Raw genomic sequence first — 22,406 nt, 5'->3', positions numbered from 1 at the left:
TCTGTGCCCTTAGCATATCTCCCCTATGGATTGCTGGTGCTATCAACTAATACACAGCCCTTTCTTTGTCTTAAGGTTTTATAGTCTCTTAAGTAGAATACTGCAGAGTCAATTAAGACATTTTATCTTATAAGTCATTTATGCCCCCTGGGATTTAAGGAAACAGCCTTCTGGACTAATTAAATCATGTATACTATCAAGCAATCAAGAATTTTTCAATCTTGCAATCACAGATGTTCAAAAATCTCCCAAAGAATATGTGACCACAACAACGAGAATAACAATAATAAAAACAGGCCAGGCGCGGTTGCTCACGCCTGTCATCCCAACACTTTAGGAGGCCAAGGCGGGCAGATCACTTGAGGCCAGGAGTTCAAGACCAGCCTGGCCAACATGGCGAAAACCTGTCTCTACTAAAAATACAAAAATTAGCCAGGCATGGTAGCACACGCCTGTAGTCCCAGCTACTCAGGAGGCTGAGGCACAAGAATCACTTGAACCCAGGATGCGGAGGCTGCAGTGAGCCAAGATCACGCCATTGCACTCCAGCTGGGGTAACACAGCAAGCCTTGGTCTCAAATAATAATAATAAAAAATCTAACATTTATTGAACCCTGATTGTGCTAGACAATATTATAAGCTCTTTTACATGTACTATCTCAATTATCTGTCCAATAGGAACCACTCTTATCCCCATATTACAAGGCCTCAAGAGGTTAAGTGATTTGCCCGAAGTGGAACAGCCGGTGTTCAAACCGAAACCCTGAGTCCAGAGCGTATGCCTTTCATTCCTACACCACTTTTCTTGTTCTTCTTTATCGAGAATAAAAGAAAATACCTGCTCCAAAGCATCAACTTGGTAAAATAATACCAAATTATTTTAGAACTAAGCCAAGGAGTAAGCATCTCAAAGTTTTCTTTTTTTAATATAGCAGTGTTACTTTCCTTATACCCTGCATCTGCATATACCTGCATCTATATAAACATATCTCATATGTGACCAGTGTCAATAAGAAGTGAAATATATTTCTGAAATCTCTCAATGAAGAGTTTATATTAACATTTTAAATTAATTAATTAATTAATTTGGCAAGGGACTAGAGCACACCCTACTGGCCAGCTAATAGGAAATACAGCATTTACTTAGGAGAAAATGCTTAAATGTTTAAATAATTTGAAAATAAAGTCAGGCTAGCGTCTAAAAGAAATTTGAAAAATTGTCTTGTAAACATCTAGATTATGTATCTAAATTAATGTATCCATAAGACTTGGCCAGGCGCGGTGGCTCACACCTGTAATCCCAGTACTTTGGGAGGGCGAGGCAGGTGCATCACCTGAGGTCAGGAGTTCAAAACCAACCTGGCCAACATGGTGAAACCCCGTCTCTACTGAAAATACTAAAAATTAGCTGGGCATGGTGGTGGATGCCTGTAATCCCAGCTACTTGGGATGCTTAGGCAGGTGAATCGCTTGAACCTGGGAGGTGGAGGTTGCAGTGAGCTGAGATTGCGCCATTGCACTCCAGCCTGGGCAACAAGAGCGAAACTCCATCTCAAAATAAACAAATAAATAAAAATTAATTAATTAATGTATCCACAAGACTAAAAAATTTACAACAGTTACACATTTTAAAGATGGGATAGAATTAGAAACATAATAACCACCAATAGCATTTAATGTTAAGAGAGCATTTGGTAAATGAAAGGTAGCTCAGTTAAAAATAAACAACTACGCGAACAGCCTGTCTAAAACTCATACTAAGAAAAAGCAGTGAAGCCCTGGCCCTAACACTTAAAATAATAGACTGGGAAATTAAAACCAACCTGCTCAGACTTCCACAGGCGAAGTATCCTTTTTGGGGAAAAACTAGGAAGGGAGAGCAGTACCCCTAATTAACTAATGGAAAAATGGGCTGGGCATGGTGGCTCACGCCTATAATTTCAGTACTTTGGGAAGCCAAGACAGGGAGATCACTTGAGGCCGGGAGTTCAAGACCAGTCTGACCAACACAGAGAAACCCCGTCTCTACTAAAAGCACAAAATTAGCCGACGTGGTGGTGCATGCCTATAATCCCAGCTACTCGGGAGGCTGAGGCAGGAGAATCGCTTGAATCTAGGAGGCGGAGGTTGCGGTGAGCCCAAATCACGCCATTGCACTCCAGCCTGGGCAACAAGAGCAAAACTCTGTCTCAAAAAACAAATAAAAAACAAAACAAAACAAAAAAGACAAAAAAACAGAAAAAGGAAAAATGAAATGTTGCCAAGAAATATATTTTCTGTGCTACTTTTCAAATGGCCACTAAGGTTGAAAAGTGAAAAGTCCATGGAAATCTCTTTGGGGTTGTGGTACTCCTCATGGGTGAATCTAGGCTCTTATCAGCATGTGTGTTTTAGAATCATCCAGAGTTCACCAGGCGCGGTGGCTCAAGCCTGTAATCCCAGCACTTTGGGAGGCCGAGGCGGGCGGATCATGAGGTCAAGAGATCAAGACCATCCTGGCCAACATGGTGAAACCCCGTCTCTACTAAAAATACAAAAATTAGCCGGGCGTGGTGGCACCCACCTGTAGTCCCAGCTACTAGGGAGGCTGAGGCAGGACAATCGCTTGAACCCGGGAGGCGGAGGTTGCAGTGAGCTGAGATGGCGCCACTGCACTCCAACCTGGGGACAGAGTGAGACTCCGTCTCAAAAAAATGAAAAGAATCACCTAGAGTTTATTTTATATGTTGAGTGTGTGTGTGTGTGTGTGTGTGTGTACATGCATGCGTTTTGGAAACATCCATGAACAGAAATATGAATGTTCCCAAAATGCAATGTAGCACACTAAGCAAACACCCTCTAGGAAATGTAATTCCTCTCTTGGTTGTATTTTTTTATTGCACACTTATCTATAAAATAGTTTAAGTGCATAATATACATTTATATTATGTATAGACAGAAACAAAGGCTCTAGGACCAAGAGGGACATACAAAATGTGTTTAACTTTAAAATATTTATTATAAACAAAGTAGAAACACAAAAACTTCTATAATCAAGAAGAATAAACACCAAAATGTATATGTTCTTCTACAGGATTAAAATAATATCAAAATACAAATATAAATTTAATAAGGACCTGTCCAGCATGTTATACTTACACACGACTTGTGGCATTTCTTTGAGATGAGAGAAAGAAGCAATGTTTTCAGGAAAACAGTGTCTGTGATTCTAAGGTTTCTGAGCCAGAACCTCACCCTTGTTCTCACTCCAAAGACAGCTTCTTCTTACACTGAAAGAAGGGCAAGTGAAAAGTGACAATTTGGGTCAATGTGATGCAAGTCTAACGTTTTAGATGTTGAGTTCTATTAAAAAAATCAACTAATATAAATTCCTTGGAAAATGGCCTCAAAATTAAGCAGACTGTGAGAGATATAAAAAACACTGTCTTACTTTAAATGTCATGCTTTTCTGGAGATAATTTAAAACAAATTGGGTTCAGGAAAAAGAGACTATTTCCCCGAATCTCTGGTGTAGTGTTCTAATCTATTAAAGGTCAATGAATAATCACTTAATAAACACAACATGCTAGTATTACTTCAAGATGCTTAGCGTTTTGCTTTTAAACTCTTCCCAAGATGTCCTACAATATTATTGACATATCAATGTTATTATAACACATCATTAACAGACTATTAGATAAAAAATTTGTGGGGTGTAAGTCTTCTCATGTAATTCTTCCACAGCTGAGAAAGCCATATTATATAACTGCAAGCTAAACACAGCAAACTAGTGGCTAAACAGGTTTTCCCCAAAAAATGAATAAATCAAGTTTATTTTGCAAGTTGTTTAAAATAGAAAAATCAGATTAATCACATATTACTCATGGGATTTTATGATTTTTGATAATTTACCAAAACATTAGCACATCATACAGCTCACAACTGTAGAGTGAGTATCCTGTTGATCTTCTTTCTCTAAAGAAGGGGTGTGTTTGATGGTTGCTCTGGTGATTATCACTGTTTTATGAATAGGGGAATGTAAAAGCACGCCAATAAGGCCGAAGCACAAATTACAACTGTATTGTAGTGACTTGAAATAGTATAGCCAGGGCTCCTTTCAGATGAAACTTGAGCTCCTTTAGGTGCCCATTCAGTAAATCCTGTCCCGTGAGGTTTGAAAAGATGTACCCTGGCAAGTTCTCACACTCATCTTTTTTTTACACTGATAACAGCATATGGGTAAGCCACAAACATAAATGACGCCAAAATGGGAGGAAAATCGGGACAGATTTTCTTTGGATCAAAAAACCTAGTTAGTTGGTAAGGAACTCTGCAATTAGTTGTGACTCATTTCCATCATCCTAAAATAATACTAAATGAATGGCTGTAAGAAGATAGGTTAACTGAATTGTTGACAAATGGCATAGGCATGAAAATGACCCAACAGCCCCTTGTAAGCCAGAAGAGCCATCAGAAAGGAAGCCAGATTTCTCTCTGCAAAACGTTCGTTTGTTTTGCAAGTGAGAGAGGGCAAAGATACTTCAGATTCTTTTTCTTTTTTTTTTCCTTTTCGTGCTTAAGGCCTTGAATTCAAAATTAGGCCTTTGAATTAAATTAAAAAGAATGTAAGTAAATAATAGTGGGGGAAAGGCAAATCATTTCATGGGGTGTAGAGTTAATAGTTAACCTGATAATAAGGCCAGAATCTCATTCCATATGTTAAACTACCCCAATTAGCTAGTGATCAGTGTCTAACTATCAGGCATTATTGCTGAAGTGCAAGCAGGGGCTCCAGGAGGCTAGAGGTCAGCGACAGGTCTCTGGGCTCTCCCAACAGAGGACCAGCCAGGGAATTTGTTCTAGTTAAAACTAGAGGGTTTCCGTCTGTTTGCTTTTTTTCTGACTTTAGTCACTCTTGGTTTGTTATCATTTGTATTATTTATTTTACGGTTAAACTATAAGCCTAAGTTGCATCACTGGCGCCCCGAGAAACCTCCTCCCACAGGCCCGCTGGGGCTTTGTCCTTGGGCATCCGTGGCCTCTCCAAAGCCAAAAGACGTCGGGGCCAGCTCAGGTCGCCTGAGTAAACACAAACCTGGGAAGCCGAGGGCCCCCTAAGTCAGTAGTGAGGGAGCTCCTCCTGGAAACCCACAGCGACCCTGAAGGGCTCAACCTCGAGCAGGACCTTTCCTCCATATTCCAACGCAGTCAGAGGAGCCCTGGGTTCCCCCCGCGTAGCCTCACCGCCCCACGCCGGCCCACTCTGTCCCCTCATCCTCCCTTGCTGTCCTACTCTGTCCCTCGCCATCCCTCACAGTCCCACACTGTCCCTCACCGCCCCTCACAGTACCTCACCGTCCACTGTCCCACACTGTCCCTTGACATCCTTCATTGTCCCTCACCGCCCCTCACAGTGCCTCACTGTCCACTGTCCCATACTGTCCCACACTGTCCCTTGCCATCCTTCACTGTCCGAGTCCCTCACAGTCCCAAAGTCCCTCACTGTCCCACAGTCCCTCACCGTCCCACACTGTCCCTCACTGTCCTACACAGTCCCTCACTGTCCCTCATCGTCCCGCACTGTCCCTCACCGTCCCACACCGTCTCTCATCGTCCCGCACTGTCCCACACAGTCGCTCACCGGTCCACACGGTCCCTCATCATCCCACACTATCCTTCACTGCCCCACACAGTCCCTAAGTGTCCCTCACTGTCCCTCCCACGCCGCAAGCCCAGTCGAGAGCGGCTCCCCTCTCCCCCTCCAGGGCTTCTTCGGCCCACACGGCCAGCGGCGGCCCGCGGAGAGGAAAAAACACACAATCTTGCCCGGAGCCTGAATTTATGGGAAATCCCGCGCGAAGCGCGATGTGCCCTCAGTTCGGGCAGGAACAGCGGCCGAGGCCCGGGTCGCCGCGGGCTTCTGAGGAAAGCTCGGCGTTGAGAGGCTCCCAGGGCTGCCGCACGGCTCAGGCAGAGGAGCGGAGCTGCGGCCGCGGTCAGCCCGGAGACGCCTCTCCGGGAGACAAAGCCGGCTCCCTGCAGCGCCGCGATACGCCACGGTGGGCCCGGCGCAACGCCTCGGCCACGGCATCGCCCCTTTAAGCGGCGCGCGCCCTGATTGGCTGCGGGAGGAGGCGGGGCGGGACGCGGCGACCTCACGGCCCGGCGGCCTATGCTATATATAGAGGCGGCGGCGGCAGCCGCGGCGACGGCGGTCCGGTGCGAGGCAGAGTGCTAGCGGGAGCGCGAGCCAGCAAGAGGCGCCTGCGCGATGTCCGGGCCCCTGAGCCCGCGGCGCTGAGCCAGCCGGGACGGACATGCGCGGGAGGGCGCCGCGGGGCAGCCGCCGCTCCTCCGGGGTAAGGGGCCTGGCGCGCTGAGGGGGTGGGGAGGGCCACGCAGCGCTCCGTTCCCTCAGGGGGCCCCGCGCCGGGCGCCGGGATCCAGGCGGCTCCCCGACGCGAGGGCGGGGGCGTGGAGGGCGCGGGGAGGGTCGCCGCGACGCGGAGTCTCTGGGATGGAGGGAGAGGCCGGCCGGTCGCTCGCGGGCTTCTCCCCATTGAGGTGTGGAGAGCGGGACCCTCCCCGGCGGCGCAGCCCGGGCCTGGGGACGCCGCGAAGTGCCGGCGCCCGCCGCCTTCTCCACGCCGGCTGTGGTCGTCGCGCGGCCCCTCGGCTGGCCGGGGCCATGCACCCGAGCGCCCGGGATACGTCCCCGCAGCACCGGGACCGCAGGAGCGGACGGGGGTTCGGGAGCGGCGAGCATGAAGGTCCTCGTCCCGCAGCCTGCGCTCGCGGGGTTGCCCGGCGGGGATGAGCGTCTTCGGGCCTGGGGGCTTGTTTGATTTTTTTTTTATTTGTAAAAAGGGGGTTGCGTTGTCTTGTTCACACCGTGTACCCGTAAATCCTGTCTTGAAAGCTGGGGTGGGAGGCTCGGCGATTGCTTGCGGTGGTTGGTACCGGTTCTCTGGCGGTCAGCCCCGCTCCCTCTGCCTAATCTCACAGCGACGATGGTAATGCCGAAATCAGTATTTAAAAATTCGTCTAAGCTGTTCTGAACTCTTCCTTCTCTCCTAGAAACGTGATTCTTTGCTCTGAGTGTCTTAAGTACGGCTTTGAATGGAATCGGACTGCAAAATTATGTGTTCAAGACGTGAATGCTTATTGGGAATTTTGTGTGTGTATTTATATGTATATCATAGCCCTGTACAAATTAGATGACTCTTTAACCGTGAATGGTGCTGTATTAGTGCTTGCTAAGTCTTTATTAGGATTTCATCATTGCTTGAAAGAAACCAGTCTCTTACCTGATAAAAATATGAATAGATGGTTAGTCATAAACTTAAGTCAGAATGGAGACTGTAGCTTTAAAAGAGATGTGTCGGTGACTTGAGGTACACCTGCAACACAGGTAGGGCAAGACTGGTTTCTAGGCAACTGTCAGGGGTGAAGAAAGGTGAGGTTAAAATGCCCTTTTTTTCCCTTCCAGAACAAATGTTCAACCTTTTATAAATGTGTAAGAATGCAGTGGGTACACACATTTGTTGAGACTGAACATCCCAAGTTCACCGTACCTATTTTTTTAACTGCATTTCTTTTCTTATATTTCTGTAATTACAATATACAGTTTTAAGTGAAATTTTATTTGAACAGAGACCAAAGACAGGCTAGGTATCAGCAAATGATCAAATTTTGCAAAGACCAAAATAAAAGAAGCTGGTTTCTTGCTAACATGCTGGCTATAATTGGTTACCAATATGTTATCAAGCAAGTTCTTTTCCAGATATTAGCAAGTTTGAAGAAAAATAACAAAGGATTTAGCATGGACTTCAGAAACTATTTGTCATTCCCTTTGCTTCAAGCAGAAGTTTATTTTCACCTGTGTGTTCCAGGGGACACTCGATAATAAGTGATAGAGGTCTTAGACTAACGATTTATAACCTGACAGATATATTAGATTGTAAACTCCTTAAGGGTAGGCACTCTGCCTTGTATAGCTTCTATCTTATGCAGCCTTGCACATAGTTGATGTTGATAAATAATTGCATGAAAGCATGTTTTACCTTTTAAGGCTCAGCAGGATTGGAGCAGTCATTGATAAGGGTTGGAAAGCAAATCTGTTTAATTTTTTTATGGCTGTTATGAAATGCCTGAATTATTGATATTTTTGACGGGTAAAACTGTTGTTTCAATCATCGGTTTTCCTACTTGCAGTTCACAATATATACTGGTCACTCTTTATAAGATTTAATTATGCTTGAGTTTTTGTGTGAAAATACCTCTTGACTGCTGCTTCTCAAAAGTTGAGCTAGATAATACTTCCTTTCTGCTGAAACTAATGGTGGCTTTTCAAAGCAATTTGCGTAAATTACAGGCACAATCTAACATGCTTGAAACTGACCTGATTGTCTGCATACCATCAGATTGCTTTAGAAAGGAGCAGAGGAAGGAAAGGAGGTGTCAGGGGTAACTCCAGGAATTGGAATGGCATAGGCTCCCTCTGCCAGAGAAACAACTCTGCTCTTGATCTAAATAAATTTGAATTGGTACCTCATCATCTGGATCCATTTGGATACATTTAGCATCCTTTGCGGGTGTCTGGCTATACAAAAGCTAATAAAGAACTCGCTACATAAACGCAGTCCAGTTGTGGTATTCTGGCATTGTTCACACAGCATAAACACGTGCTTTGTAAAGGTAGATGAGGCGAATGAGTTTGAGGGTCCTAAATGTAAGTTACTACCTTAACAATTAGTTTTAAGATAGGGAAAAGTTACTGAGGGGGGTTCAGATTTCAGAAGGTGGTGGGGAGGATTCTCAGATTTCAAGTCTTTGTTGATACTGTAGTCCAATTCCTCACACCATAAAATTGGGCAATATTACGAAAAGACCACTCTTCCAGGTCTCAATGAATGTGTCTTTAAAATGTGGGGCTTTTGGCCGGGCTCAGTGGCTCAGGCCTGTAATCTCAGCACTTTGGGAGGCCAAGGCGGGCAGATGGCTTGAGCCCAAGAGTATGAGACCAACCTGGGCAACATGGTGAAACCCTGTCACTACAAAAAAACACAAAAATTAGCTGGGTATGGTGGCACACGTCTGTAGTCCCAGCTACTCAGGAGGCTGAGGTGGGAGGATTGCTTGAGCCTGGGAGGCAGAGGTTGCAGTAAGCCAAGATCACACGACTGCACTACAGCCTGGTGACAGAGTGAGACTCTGTCTTTAAAAAATAAACAAACAAAAAAATGTGGGGCTTTGGCTACAGAAATGGAGCCCTTTTCAACTTGGAAACAATAGGAAGGTAAGGATTGGAAGACATTATCCAAAAGCTCTTATTCAATACCCCAGATGTGAAACTGGACTAGTTACAGATTGTTTTTTAAACAACTATTCGCTCAGTAGAATTGTCTTCTGACTCTTATCAGGGCTGCCTCTTTTTCAGCCTTTAGATTTCCATTTAAAAGTCACCTACTCAGAGAGGCCTTCCCAAACCACCTGTGTAAATATATGCTCCTCTGCCTCCTTATCCTATTGCTGCTGTACCCTGCTTGTTTCCTTGGAAGGTATCGCCATCTAAAATTGTTTGCTTGCTTGGCTATTCTCTTCCTCCCTCATTAGATGGAAGGCTTCTTCAGGCAGCAGCCATCTCTATTTTTCACCTCACATGGTGTCTAATCCAGAATAAGCACTTGATAAATATTTGTGAAAAGAATTAATCCTTGCCCTCTAAGAATTTTTGAGCTGAATGAGCACTATGAGTTGAGTTTCTGTTCCTGCCTCTGCTATTGACTAGCACTTAGGTCTTGAGCATTTAACTTAACAGCCTTTTGCTTCAGTTTCTCCATTTATAAACAAGAATGTTACAAGGAGAAATGAGGTTGTTGCCTAAAATGAAGATACTATAGAGTGGAGAGGTAGTGAAAGTGTGGGGAAAATGCTGGATTATAGTACAGAAGAGCCATGATCGCCCTTTTGCTTATAGCAAGATATTTAACCTCACTTTGTTTCCTCATCTGCAAAATGGAGATTCTAATCCCTGCCTCTTCTTACAGGGATGTTGTGGGGATCAAGTGAGATAATGTGTAAGAAGGTGCTTTGTAACTTGTTGAGTGCTTTACAAATATAAGGTATGCTATTGTTAAATTCCGGATTTTACAATACAGTGTGATTATAATGCCATCATTGGGATCCATGCTGTGAAAGCATGTTAAAAGGAGGCCCGTTGGGTATATGTAGTAACCGCTTATTACGAGTAAAAACAGACTTGTGTTATATGAAATAACCATGTTGTAAAGAGTTCTGTTGTGGTGGGGCATCCGTGGATCGTTAAAGACTGAGGGCTTCAAAATAGTTGTTTGAAGTGGTAATAGAATGTCAAATTGATGCCTTAACCCACCCATTTTAGAGGATACATAGGCCAGATCTACAATTAATAACTTTTAATAGGAGAATTTGAGGGAGTTGAAGTGAAACAGGAACTTTCATAGGCTACAGGTTACCCAAGAAAAACTATTACCAGTAAATCCATAAAAAAGGATCTGTGCTACCCTTACAAGTTGAGCAGTATAGTCAGTCGGATCCTACTTCGCCAGTTTAAAAAGCCGTAGGGACAGGAAGAGGCAGTGTGGTGTGTTGGTGAAGGGCCTGGACACTGAGGCCGGGCTGTCTAGTTGAAGTCCTGGCCCCATTGCTCACCAGTTTTGACCTTGAGCAAGTTCTTTAACTCTGTGCCTCAAGTAAGTGAGAGTAATAATAGTAGCCCACCTTATGGCATTGTAGAGAGGATTAAATGAGTTCATACACATAAAGCACTTAGAACCATGCTTGCCTGGCAGTTGTATGTCCAGTGAATGTTAGTTATCATTAATGGTTTTATATTAATTGTAACAATCTAGAGTTACCCATCGGGTAACTTAAATGCTTGTTAAATAAATTTGAAGTTTTAAAGACTTGCGTCCCATCATTAGACCATTGTGCTCGTTGTCTTTAGATTAGAATTCACTTTTATAGTAAGAAATAATCTATTGTTATATGTCAAAAAGAAATAATATTTTTCTCCCCTCTGTGTGTATATATAGTTACTGATTGTGCTACTCTGTAGGAGAAATACAAAGGACAAAAGAATGTATTCCTGCTATCCTACTTTTCTGCTGTCACACTAAAATTGTGTGGGAGGCTTAAGTGAGTTGAAAGACTGGATTATGGTAGTTGAGGGAATGGGTTTTTTGTTAGTTTACCATTTTTTAAAATACTTAGCTAGAAAGCATTCTGAATTATTGAATAAATTACGTCATTTATTTTTTATTTGACAGTTTGAAGATAAATTATTTTCTCTGTTGCCTCTATTTCACCACCTACAAATGGTCCATTATGTTCTGGACATGTTTAAGAGCCTCTGAGGAATGGAGCTGCAAACACAGACACAAATGTTCATCTTTGCCACACTGAACTATATTTTAATGTTTACTGAAGCCATCAAGCTTTTCTTGAATTCATGCAGGAGTATTTTAATTACATTAAAACATGGCATTATTTTAAAAGTAATCTATGTTTTTAATTTAAAGGCTACTTATGCTTACCATGGTAGAGAGTACAACTAAGGAAGTTTTCTTAACTTGCCTCCCTCTTTCTTTTCCTACCCCTACCTAAATCATAGGCTATTAAAATGAAATCTGGGCCGGGCGTGGTATCTCACGCCTGTAATCTCAGCACTTTGGGAGGCCGAGGCAGGAGGATCACCTGAGGTCAGGAGTTTGAGACCAGCCTGACCAATGTGGAGAAACCCCATCTCTACTAAAAATACAAAAATTAGCCTGGCGAGTTGGTGCATGCCTGTAATCCCAGCTACTCGGGAGGCTGAGGCAGGACAATCGCTTGAACCTGGGAGGTGGAGATTGTGCTGTGCACCATTGCACTCCAGCCTGGGTGACAAGAGTAAGACTCCGTCTCAAAAAAAAAAAAAAAAAATTGGTGTTTTTTTGTTTGTTTGTTTGTTTTAATTTCCTCACAGGTGATTATTTTAGACATTTTAAAAAATAAACATGCAGAGATTGGTATATTTGGGGAGGATCTAAAATCATGGAGTTTGTCATATTCCTAAATCAGTTTCCTTTTATAAATTTTGCCTTTAAATGTAGTTACCTTATTATCTTCCTTGGTTATGGAAGTACTTAATGTAGGTGATTCTTAAATGGAACTGAAAAGACCATTTATCACCCTGAATAAACAGAAATCAGGTTCTAGAACCAGATTGAAAGGAGGAAATTACATCACACTCTTAAATAAGGAAGCACTGGGCAGAACTGGATGAGTTGTATGACAAAAATGTGCCCCTCCTCCTCCCATGGATGGCTTCTGAGATTTATTAATGAGATCTGGTGGCCAGGTAAGCATATCTAGGTTACTGCCTTAAGGTAGCCTGCATTTTTCTTTTTTTTTTTTTTTTAAGCAGTTTCAAAGAGACTGTCCTCAAGCTAAAGGCATATGATTTCACCTTAATGAAGAAGGTGCAGTGTGCTTTTGGTGTAACTTTTTTAGAAAAATGAAAGTCACCTTAAATTCAGCAGCAAAAACACAGTCTAGAAGGAATAGTGTTTTAAGAGAAGGCAAAACACTGTTTTAAGAAAGTACCCCCCCAATTGCTTCAAGTAAATATACTGTAACAGAAACCAGTTTAGAAAGCTACACTGTTAACCACTGAAGCTTATAATTTTTACTCAGTCTACAAACTGTCTTCTTTGAATTCTGGAAATGAATTTCATAAAAATTCCTTCCTGTTACATATCCTAAGGTTGTTACATTATTATTGGGCAGTCGCCTCACTCCAGCACGCATTAACTTTATCCTTTATAAATCTGCTTCTCCCCTGAGCTCTTCACTGACTCACAGTGTATGTGAATCTTTCATGTCATTACTTTTTAAAAATGAGATGGATATTTTCTCAGTATCCATTTAATAAATAATAGACATGAATGATGCCAAGATCTACAGGGGGAAAGCATAAATCAGACATCAGTTCTGTCCTAGATGATTTGAAGAGTGGAAGGGGAATTGGGGCCCAGCACAAAATAACACAAGAACAGAGCACCGCTGCTCCAGTGTTTCATGAAAGGGAGCGGCTTCATGGAGAAGGCAGGGTAGAGCTGACCTTAAAGGATGAATCGAATTGTAACAGAGATTTGGGGAAAATAGAAGCGCGCTTGAAAATATAGATTAGGTTTATATTGTGGAGGCCCTAAATTGCCAGGCTGAGGAGGTTTTATTTAGGAGCCTTTGAAGGTTTTTTGAGCAGCAGCAAATCTTAGCTTGAGCTGTTGTTAAGGAATATTGACTTGGTACTAGTGTTGTAGAATAGGTTGCATATTGCCAGACCCCAGGAAGAATGATGCCTGTCAATGGAAGGGTAAGATTTGAGAAACCATGTAAAAGTAGTCTGTGGAACTTGGCAATTGAATGTACATGGCCTCAGGTTAAAAATGGTGCCTTGAGAAGTGTGATCCTCTTAGACCCTGAACTGGTTTGGGGAGTGGGGAATGGAGTATGAAGTGAAAGGAGGAGTTTGGTTTGTAGAGTTTGAGATGCCAGAGGGCCATCCAAGTGGAAAGATAATCACCAGACAATAGGAAATGCAAAGTTGAAGCTTGAGCCAGGCTGGAGTCATTGATTCAGGAGCTGTCTATGAGTTGAAGCTATACAAGTGGATTAATAAAAGGATAACCTCAAGAAGCAAATGATTTTAGGGCTTCTTTTTTCGTTGAATTTAGAAAAGAATCAAGTTAACAGGAAAAGGTGGTTCACATCTGAAATTTGGTATTTAACTGCATTTTAGACCCACTAAAAAAGCTAAAAATAGTTGATGAAGTTTGGAGAAGTTATGCTGAAGGTTATTTGGGTCCCCGTCTAAACCATGCTGTCTGGATTCACATTCGCTTTCCTATTCTTGGATTCCATAACATAATCCCATCTTGTACTTTTTAGATACTGATTTCCCCACATAGGTACATTTTTGCAATTGTTTTCCTCTAATGAGTTGTAAGACAGATAAAATGTGAAAAATTGGCATTAAACATCACTTGGGAAGAGTTTGTTTCTTTTTAGCTTGAGGTTGGTAAAATGGATTTATTTACTCCGCGCCCCCCCCCCCCCCGCCCCCCGCTTCCATTTGTGCTGAATACTAGAAGGTTTTTAGAGAGAGAGAAAGTTTCAGGTGGTTTCATACCCTCAGTTTACAATCTGAGAAACATTTTTTTTAAAAGCTTCCTTCCAAACCTATAGCACATTGCCCTTTTTGAGTCTACAGTTTGAAGTTATTTTCCAAAAGAAGAGAACATGGCAGTTATATTGCCCCCCTCGTCTCCCATGCTAGCAAGTAGGAAGTTCGGACAGTTTCATAACATGGCCCATTCACAATTCCCCATTGAAATTTAGAGGCAGGTCACCTTCTATGAATACACAAAGACACTATTGTGGTCAGAAGTGAGCTGGCTTAGTGAACACAATTCTTTTTATACTAAAAAAATTTTTTTCTTAAGAAAGCTAACAAGTAGGTGATGGAAACAATGAATAAAAAATAACTTTTTCTAGAACATATAAATAATTTTAAGTGACCATTGAAATGTAAGTTTAGAATTCCAAGGCAATTTCTGCAGAGGCGATAGTTACACAATCATTCTGTTGAAAGCTAAGATTTAGATGGCATTAGGAGGCTGACACACAGTAATTACTAGTAGTACTTGTTGGCTTGCAGACAGGTGGGGGTTGGGCCTGCAGAATCCCCTGCAGCATTTTCCTGTAATCTGGATGAGCGATCTTCAAACGTGTGCTTTCAAACTACTTAAATACCATATTCTTCCTATCTTGCCTTTCATTTTTATATTACCACAGATACTTTCCTCATAGTCTTGCCAGTGCTTGTAGAATGCTTAGAAAAAGCTTGATAAACCACTGGGCTAAGTACACAGAGGGAGAGGCTAGCAGTATTTTTAAATTGGTTTCTAAATTTTTTATAGCTTGATGGTAGATAACACATTTGCTTCATTGAAGTAATCTGAAAAACCAATCCTCAAAAGACCTCTCAATTAGAATTCTTAAATGACAATGTTTTCTTTATCATATATTTGAGAGATTGATTTAAAGAAAAATAATGCTTGACTATCTGAAATAATATTTTAACCCTATCATAAAATCTCTGCCTGGTAGAACAGCTGACTGTGGAAGGGTAAAATGCAGAGAACCAGTCATTGGATCTCCCTTCTCTACTTTGTTACTGAAATCTTGAACCTGTAGAACATTACTTATCACTGTGTTCCTTTCTAATGGGAAAATAATAATAAACACTTGCAGAGTATTTTTTAAAAGTTTTTAGCTTTAAAAAAAAAAACCCTGTGCCTTACACAATGTGTATATTGAGTTGATACTGATTATGATAATTAGATGGTATTATACAATCATTCATTCAGCAAACATTCACTTACTGAGCACCTACTAATGTTCCAGGTACTGATTGTTAAAAGGTGATTGAGACACAGCCTCTGTCCTGAGCTTAGTCTAGTAGGAGGTGACAGATTTGTAAATAATAGATTTGAAGTTGCTGAGCAAAAAAAAAAACAAAAAAAAAAACCTGTGTACCTCTCCCCCACAGCAAATGTGTCACATTTGCACAGTGCCCAGCCTTTGCACAGTGCCCAGCACTCAGCTGTGCAGATATTATTTGCACTGATCCCTTACTAATATTTAGTGAGAGAATGAGATCGTGTTAAAGAGTGTATATGTACGTGCCCCCAAAAGGGGTCAGTGTTACACAATAGTTGACAAATAATATCCTGGTGCCTAAGGAAAAAAACCTAAACTTATAAATAAACTTGGCTATCTGAAGACAGCAGAGATTGATGCTGACTAACACATAACGAATAATAAAAAAGGAAAGTGAAAAGGGGGCTATAGGGACTCCAGACCTGTAACATCTGACAAAGGGGATTGGCGGTCCTGAAGTTGAGGAACTACTAATTTAAGAAAAATGTACTTATTTTGTTATCCATGCCTTGCAGCTAAGCAAGATATGAGTTACTGGGTGTTTCACAAAGGAGGATGTAAAGAATGTACCTTTAACTTGTCTTTAAAAGGGAGGGAGGAAGCTGTCCCAGGCTTTTACTGAAGCCAGTAATCTTGCAGAACTTGATTTTTACAGGATAATGGAAATTAGTATCTTCATATATTACTGTTTGTTCCTTGAACAAGTAGTAACTGGAGAATTTGTCTCCCCATGGCCAACCCTGAAATACAAAATCCAGATAAATGCTAGACCCTGGGGTAGTCAGGTGCCAATACTGTAGAAACTCTTGCTTAGTTTCAGCATTGTGTTTTAGTGAGTATTAGTTCTACAGCATAAAATACAGTGGCTTCTGAAATTACTTTTTTAGCTTGGGAAAAATAAGCAGGATCCACTGGTGCTTCATGCCCAGTGCAGCCGTAACTTAGAAGGCTGGTTTAATAAGTCAGGGGAGGGTCTGTGTGCATTGCCAAGTGAGTGTGATTTGTTGTGCAACTCTCAGGCTGTGCAGTAGGAGGTCTGCTTTTGCTGGCAATAGATTATTTCTCATTTCACTAAAACATTTCATGTCTTTTGGATTAGCATTTACACAAAAAATCATTTTTAGTGTTTACATATAAGTACCCTCACGAGCTGTGAGAATTAAGTGAAAGTCTACAACTAATTTTTTCTATTCAGCATCCCCCAAATCCTCTGTTAGCTTTGCTGTAATTTAGACTGTCCTAATGGAGGTATTTCTGAATTGTTTTCTTTATTCTCTCATCTCTTCTACCTCCCAGGGAATGAAAGCTACTGGTTGATTTTAAAGTGCCTGGGCCTCACAGGTTTGGAGATGTCCCAGAATAAGGCACAATGTCAATAGCAGGAGTTGCTGCTCAGGAGATCAGAGTCCCATTAAAAACTGGATTTCTACATAATGGCCGAGCCATGGGGAATATGAGGAAGACCTACTGGAGCAGTCGCAGTGAGTTTAAAAAGTAAGTAGAGGATGTAATGCTGCTGTAATCTGGATAAATATGTGACACTAAAATGGGAGAGGCTGTGATTGCTCTTCGCTTATGACCAAAGTAGCTTCCTCTCCTTTCAGCAACTTTTTAAATATTGACCCGATAACCATGGCCTACAGTCTGAACTCTTCTGCTCAGGAGCGCCTAATACCACTTGGTATGTATTCTGAAAATCTGATCACAGTAAGCATTTGAGAAGAACAGTCTGGATTCGGGTTAGCTTGTCCTCCAGCATTATTTTTTAAATGAGGAAACCTGAACTATTTCCAACAACAGCCTGACCCCTAGTGGCAACAGATTCAGAAGATAACTGTGTTTTTCTCAAGCTATTGTACTCGACTGCCTTCATTCTGAGTCACTGATTGCTAAGTAGGACTGTTCATGGACGTGGGATCTTCTAAAATCAAGAATTAGTTCTCATTCCAGCTCTGATGCATACTTTACTTCATGAAACCTTAGGCGAGATTTCCCACCTTTCTTACTAGTATCGAATGCATGTTTGACAGTAATAGATGAAAATAGTATAAATGTTCCTCAAAACTTAAAAAATAGTATTTTTAATGTGAATATTCTGTTCCTTGGATCTTTGTCAAGAGCTGTGTGTGAACTGAACACATTGCAGGCAAGTCCATTCACTCACAATATTATGATGTGCCAGCAATAAGGACTTTGTCTTATCTCATTGGTACCCTACGTGCCTAGTATGGTCGCATGTCTTAAATGGCAAGGCTGGTACAGTATGGTATTCATGTAAATTATATGCTATTCATCTTCCGCGAATTTTACACACGTCACAAAACTTGCCTGTGATGTGTGGGTGTGCGCTGTGCACATGTCCAAGGGAGATAGAGGAGATAGTTTGTTCTTTGAACCACACCATGTGCGTTAAGAATCTTCTGCTCTCTAATTACACCTGTGGTGGTTGCATGGGTGTTCTCGGGGTGACAGCAGTCAAGTGTTTCACTCAGGAAGAAAGCTGTGGAAGCATAGGTAGCTGGGGTGCTCTCTCCCTCACACAGGTGGAGAGAGGATTGTTGATCTTTTATTAATATCTCTCGTTCATTCCAGGGCATGCTTCCAAATCTGCTCCGATGAATGGCCACTGCTTTGCAGAAAATGGTCCATCTCAAAAGTCCAGCTTGCCCCCTCTTCTTATTCCCCCAAGTGAAAACTTGGGACCACATGAAGAGGATCAAGTTGTATGTGGTTTTAAGAAACTCACAGTGAATGGGGTTTGTGCTTCCACCCCTCCACTGACACCCATAAAAAACTCCCCTTCCCTTTTCCCCTGTGCCCCTCTTTGTGAACGGGGTTCTAGGCCTCTTCCACCGTTGCCAATCTCTGAAGCCCTCTCTCTGGATGACACAGACTGTGAGGTGGAATTCCTAACTAGCTCAGATACAGACTTCCTTTTAGAAGACTCTACACTTTCTGATTTCAAATATGATGTTCCTGGCAGGCGAAGCTTCCGTGGGTGTGGACAAATCAACTATGCATATTTTGATACCCCAGCTGTTTCTGCAGCAGATCTCAGCTATGTGTCTGACCAAAATGGAGGTGTCCCAGATCCAAATCCTCCTCCACCTCAGACCCACCGAAGATTAAGAAGGTCTCATTCGGGACCAGCTGGCTCCTTTAACAAGCCAGCCATAAGGATATCCAACTGTTGTATACACAGAGCTTCTCCTAACTCCGATGAAGACAAACCTGAGGTTCCCCCCAGAGTTCCCATACCTCCTAGACCAGTAAAGCCAGATTATAGAAGATGGTCAGCAGAAGTTACTTCGAGCACCTATAGTGATGAAGACAGGCCTCCCAAAGTACCGCCAAGAGAACCTTTGTCACCGAGTAACTCGCGCACACCGAGTCCCAAAAGCCTTCCGTCTTACCTCAATGGGGTCATGCCCCCGACACAGAGCTTTGCCCCTGATCCCAAGTATGTCAGCAGCAAAGCACTGCAAAGACAGAACAGCGAAGGATCTGCCAGTAAGGTTCCTTGCATTCTGCCCATTATTGAAAATGGGAAGAAGGTTAGTTCAACACATTATTACCTACTACCTGAACGACCACCATACCTGGACAAATATGAAAAATTTTTTAGGGAAGCAGAAGAAACAAATGGAGGCGCCCAAATCCAGCCATTACCTGCTGACTGCGGTATATCTTCAGCCACAGAAAAGCCAGACTCAAAAACAAAAATGGATCTGGGTGGCCACGTGAAGCGTAAACATTTATCCTATGTGGTTTCTCCTTAGACCTTGGGGTCATGGTTCAGCAGAGGTTACATAGGAGCAAATGGTTCTCAATTTTCCAGTTTGATTGAAGTGCAGAGAAAAATCCCTTAGATTGCAAAATAAAATAGTTGAACTCTCTGTCTTCATGTGGAAGGTTTAGAGCAGTTGTGAGATGCTGTTATGCTGAGAAACCCTGACTTTGTTAGTGTTGGAAAAAAGTCTTACAAGTCTATAATTTAAAGATGTGATGGTGGGGAGGGGAGGATGGGGAAGCTTTTTATATATGCATACATTACATACCTATATATAAACTTGTGGTATAACCATAGACCATAGCTGCAGGTTAACCAATTAGTTACTATCGTAGAGTAATATATATTCAGAATAATAAACTCAAGCTGGAGAAATGAGTCCTGATAGACTGAAAATTGAGCAAATGGAAGAAGATACAGTATTGTTTAGATCAGAATCATTAAAAAATATTTTTGTTTAGTAAGTTTGAAGATTTCTGGCTTTTAGGCCTTTTCTATTTTGTTCCATTTATTTTTGCAGGCAATCTTTTCCATGGAGGGCAGGGTATCCATTCTTTACCATGGGTGTACCTGCTTAGGTTAAAAATCATACCAAGGCCTCATACTTCCAGGTTTCATGTTGCGTCTTGTTGAGGGAGGGAGAGCAGGTTACTTGGCAACCATATTGTCACCTGTACCTGTCACACATCTTGAAAAATAAAACGATAATAGAACTAGTGACTAATTTTCCCTTACAGTTCCTGCTTGGTCCCACCCACTGAAGTAGCTCATCGTAGTGCGGGCCGTATTAGAGGCAGTGGGGTACGTTAGACTCAGATGGAAAAGTATTCTAGGTGCCAGTGTTAGGATGTCAGTTTTACAAAATAATGAAGCAATTAGCTATGTGATTGAGAGTTATTGTTTGGGGATGTGTGTTGTGGTTTTGCTTTTTTTTTTTAGACTGTATTAATAAACATACAACACAAGCTGGCCTTGTGTTGCTGGTTCCTATTCAGTATTTCCTGGGGATTGTTTGCTTTTTAAGTAAAACACTTCTGACCCATAGCTCAGTATGTCTGAATTCCAGAGGTCACATCAGCATCTTTCTGCTTTGAAAACTCTCACAGCTGTGGCTGCTTCACTTAGATGCAGTGAGACACATAGTTGGTGTTCCGATTTTCACATCCTTCCATGTATTTATCTTGAAGAGATAAGCACAGAAGAGAAGGTGCTCACTAACAGAGGTACATTACTGCAATGTTCTCTTAACAGTTAAACAAGCTGTTTACAGTTTAAACTGCTGAATATTATTTGAGCTATTTAAAGCTTATTATATTTTAGTATGAACTAAATGAAGGTTAAAACATGCTTAAGAAAAATGCACTGATTTCTGCATTATGTGTACAGTATTGGACAAAGGATTTTATTCATTTTGTTGCATTATTTTGAATATTGTCTTTTCATTTTAATAAAGTTATAATACTTATTTATGATACCATTAGTAATGTTTCTTGCCTAAAGTCTTATAAAGTGTATGAAGCAATTTGACAGCATTATTTTTAAGCACAAGCGAAGATTCTTTGAAGTTTAATGTATTCTTGAAACTCTTATTCTTTAGAATGAAACATAATTTGTGCAATCTTTTTCACATATTATGAAAGTATACAGTGGAAATGAGCTGTTTGTTTTTACCTTTAACAACTGAAAGAGAACTGGATTCTGGGGTTACTATCAGAAACAACGTTGGGGGTGGGAGTCCACATCAAGGAGAACGTGACAGAAGAAACCAGTTCTGATGTGTAGACTTGGTTTGACTCATTCTGATTTTTAGGACGAGGTCCCGGTTACTCTGGGCCCTTTGGCAGGCTTTGCTTCTTGCTTAAGGCCACCCAAGGAATCTGCACCTGCCTTGGCCTGTCATGGAGATGGCAAGTCCACAGTGGACAAATGGGCTCCTGGCAGCCTTTGGATGGAGGCAGGGGCTGGAGTGCTCTTTGTGAGGGGGCTTAGTCCCATGTCACCTAGCCCTGTGCCTGGTTCTCTTCACTGTCCTCTGCAGGCTCCTTTGTCCCCTGGGAGAGGGTGGGAGCCCTCCACGACCTTCATCGGGCACCTGCACTGTCTTGCCACTCTCCAGAGTGAAGAGTGAGGGCTCAAATTATCTGGGTTGAAGTTGCAACTTCATCCCTTTCTAATTCTGTGTGAGGCAGATTATTTTAAATCCCTGTAGCTCAGTTTTCTCATTGGTAAAATGGGCAGAGAGGTGGGAATTATTTTGTGACAACTGCATATAAACTATATTATCTGGTACATAGTGAGGGCCCCATACATGAGAACTGTTTTTGTCATCTAAAGGCTGGGTGTCATTTATGGCATTTTACAGATGAAGATGCAGGCTTGGGACGTTCAGTCAACAGACATTTGTTAAATCCCAGCCCCATGCTGGATCCTGCGAAAACACATCCCCTTCCCTTATGGAATTTAAAGCAGATAATGTTAATTATGATTACATCTTATATTAAGTGCTAAATAAAAAGGTAATGAACAATGGGAGCAATGAGGACTGATAATGGGACCTGTGAGGTGTTAAGCTCTGAAGGGTTAGAATGGAAGCTGAGGGAGGGGAGTGAACAGGTAGGCATGTTACCAGTGGAGGAAGCAGACAATGTGTGAGACCCTGAAGTAGGAAACAGCTGAGCAGCTTCCAGAAAGTGGCTGTCAGGAGGAGGAGGGGCCTGGAAAAGTGTAGTGGGTGCCACTGAAAGATCCTAAGCAGGAGAGGAAGGTGATGTGATTTAAGAGGACAGTGGCTGTTGTGTGGAGGACAGATCGGAGAGAAGCAAAAGGAAACGGGAAGACTTAATGGACAGAGGCTACTGTAGTCCTGAACTGAGACAAGACTGCCTTGGCCAGTGGAGATGGAGAAAAACAGTAAAAGATACCTGGGAGTAGTAGAAACAGTTAAGTTCCAGATCACGCAGGCCCGTGTGCGCGGCACCCTGGCCAAAGAGGGACAGCTCCCCAAGCGCAGGGACTCAGCTTCCTGTGCACTGTCATGACGCACTGCCTGACCCAGGGGTGCAGTAAGTCCCTGCTGACTGGATGTCTGAATGCAGCACTTGCAGAACTT

The 22,406-nt window shown here is 42.3% G+C and overlaps 1 protein-coding gene and 1 long non-coding RNA gene across 5 annotated transcripts in view, besides 2 other annotated features; one reads left to right on the top strand and one right to left on the bottom strand.

Annotated features, from left to right (window-relative positions):
• The window catches only part of ERRFI1-DT (ERRFI1 divergent transcript), a 100,578-nt gene extending 94,575 nt beyond the window's left edge, over nucleotides 1-6,003 (bottom strand). Inside the window, exons 1-2 of the long non-coding RNA NR_185980.1 lie at nucleotides 5,075-6,003; nucleotides 3,139-3,269 (exon numbers count right to left, since the gene is read on the bottom strand). This is a non-coding gene — a long non-coding RNA (ERRFI1 divergent transcript). The remainder of the gene's footprint in view (nucleotides 1-3,138; nucleotides 3,270-5,074) is intronic.
• Nucleotides 6,102-6,151: a silencer, noted in NCBI's record as "silent region_191". NCBI's record gives its function as "represses an Ori minimal core promoter by ATAC-STARR-seq in GM12878 lymphoblastoid cells {active_cell/tissue: GM12878}" and the evidence as "EXISTENCE:reporter gene assay evidence [ECO:0000049][PMID:35858748]".
• ERRFI1 (ERBB receptor feedback inhibitor 1) lies at nucleotides 6,187-20,769 on the top strand. Of its 4 annotated transcripts, NM_018948.4 has the most exons (4): nucleotides 6,187-6,338; nucleotides 16,804-17,001; nucleotides 17,112-17,188; nucleotides 18,100-20,769. In NM_018948.4, the coding sequence occupies exons 2-4, from the start codon at nucleotides 16,877-16,879 to the stop codon at nucleotides 19,284-19,286; spliced, it is 1,389 nt and encodes a 462-aa protein (NP_061821.1). In that variant the 5' UTR covers nucleotides 6,187-6,338; nucleotides 16,804-16,876; the 3' UTR covers nucleotides 19,287-20,769. The 4 variants fall into 4 exon arrangements, with proteins under 4 accessions (NP_061821.1, XP_047278654.1, XP_005263534.1 ...); XM_047422698.1 differs by lacking the exon at nucleotides 6,187-6,338 and having other exon boundaries at nucleotides 12,423-17,001; XM_005263477.4 differs by lacking the exon at nucleotides 6,187-6,338 and having other exon boundaries at nucleotides 16,805-17,001; nucleotides 17,096-17,188.
• Nucleotides 6,272-6,371: a silencer, noted in NCBI's record as "silent region_190". NCBI's record gives its function as "represses an Ori minimal core promoter by ATAC-STARR-seq in GM12878 lymphoblastoid cells {active_cell/tissue: GM12878}" and the evidence as "EXISTENCE:reporter gene assay evidence [ECO:0000049][PMID:35858748]".
• Nucleotides 20,770-22,406: the final 1,637 nt, after the last annotated feature.

Source organism: Homo sapiens, chromosome 1 (assembly GCF_000001405.40).
Source record: "Homo sapiens chromosome 1, GRCh38.p14 Primary Assembly".
NCBI lineage: Eukaryota > Metazoa > Chordata > Mammalia > Primates > Hominidae > Homo > Homo sapiens.
The sequence above is the reverse complement of the archived record's forward strand: the minus strand, read 5'-3'. Positions and strand labels throughout refer to the sequence as shown.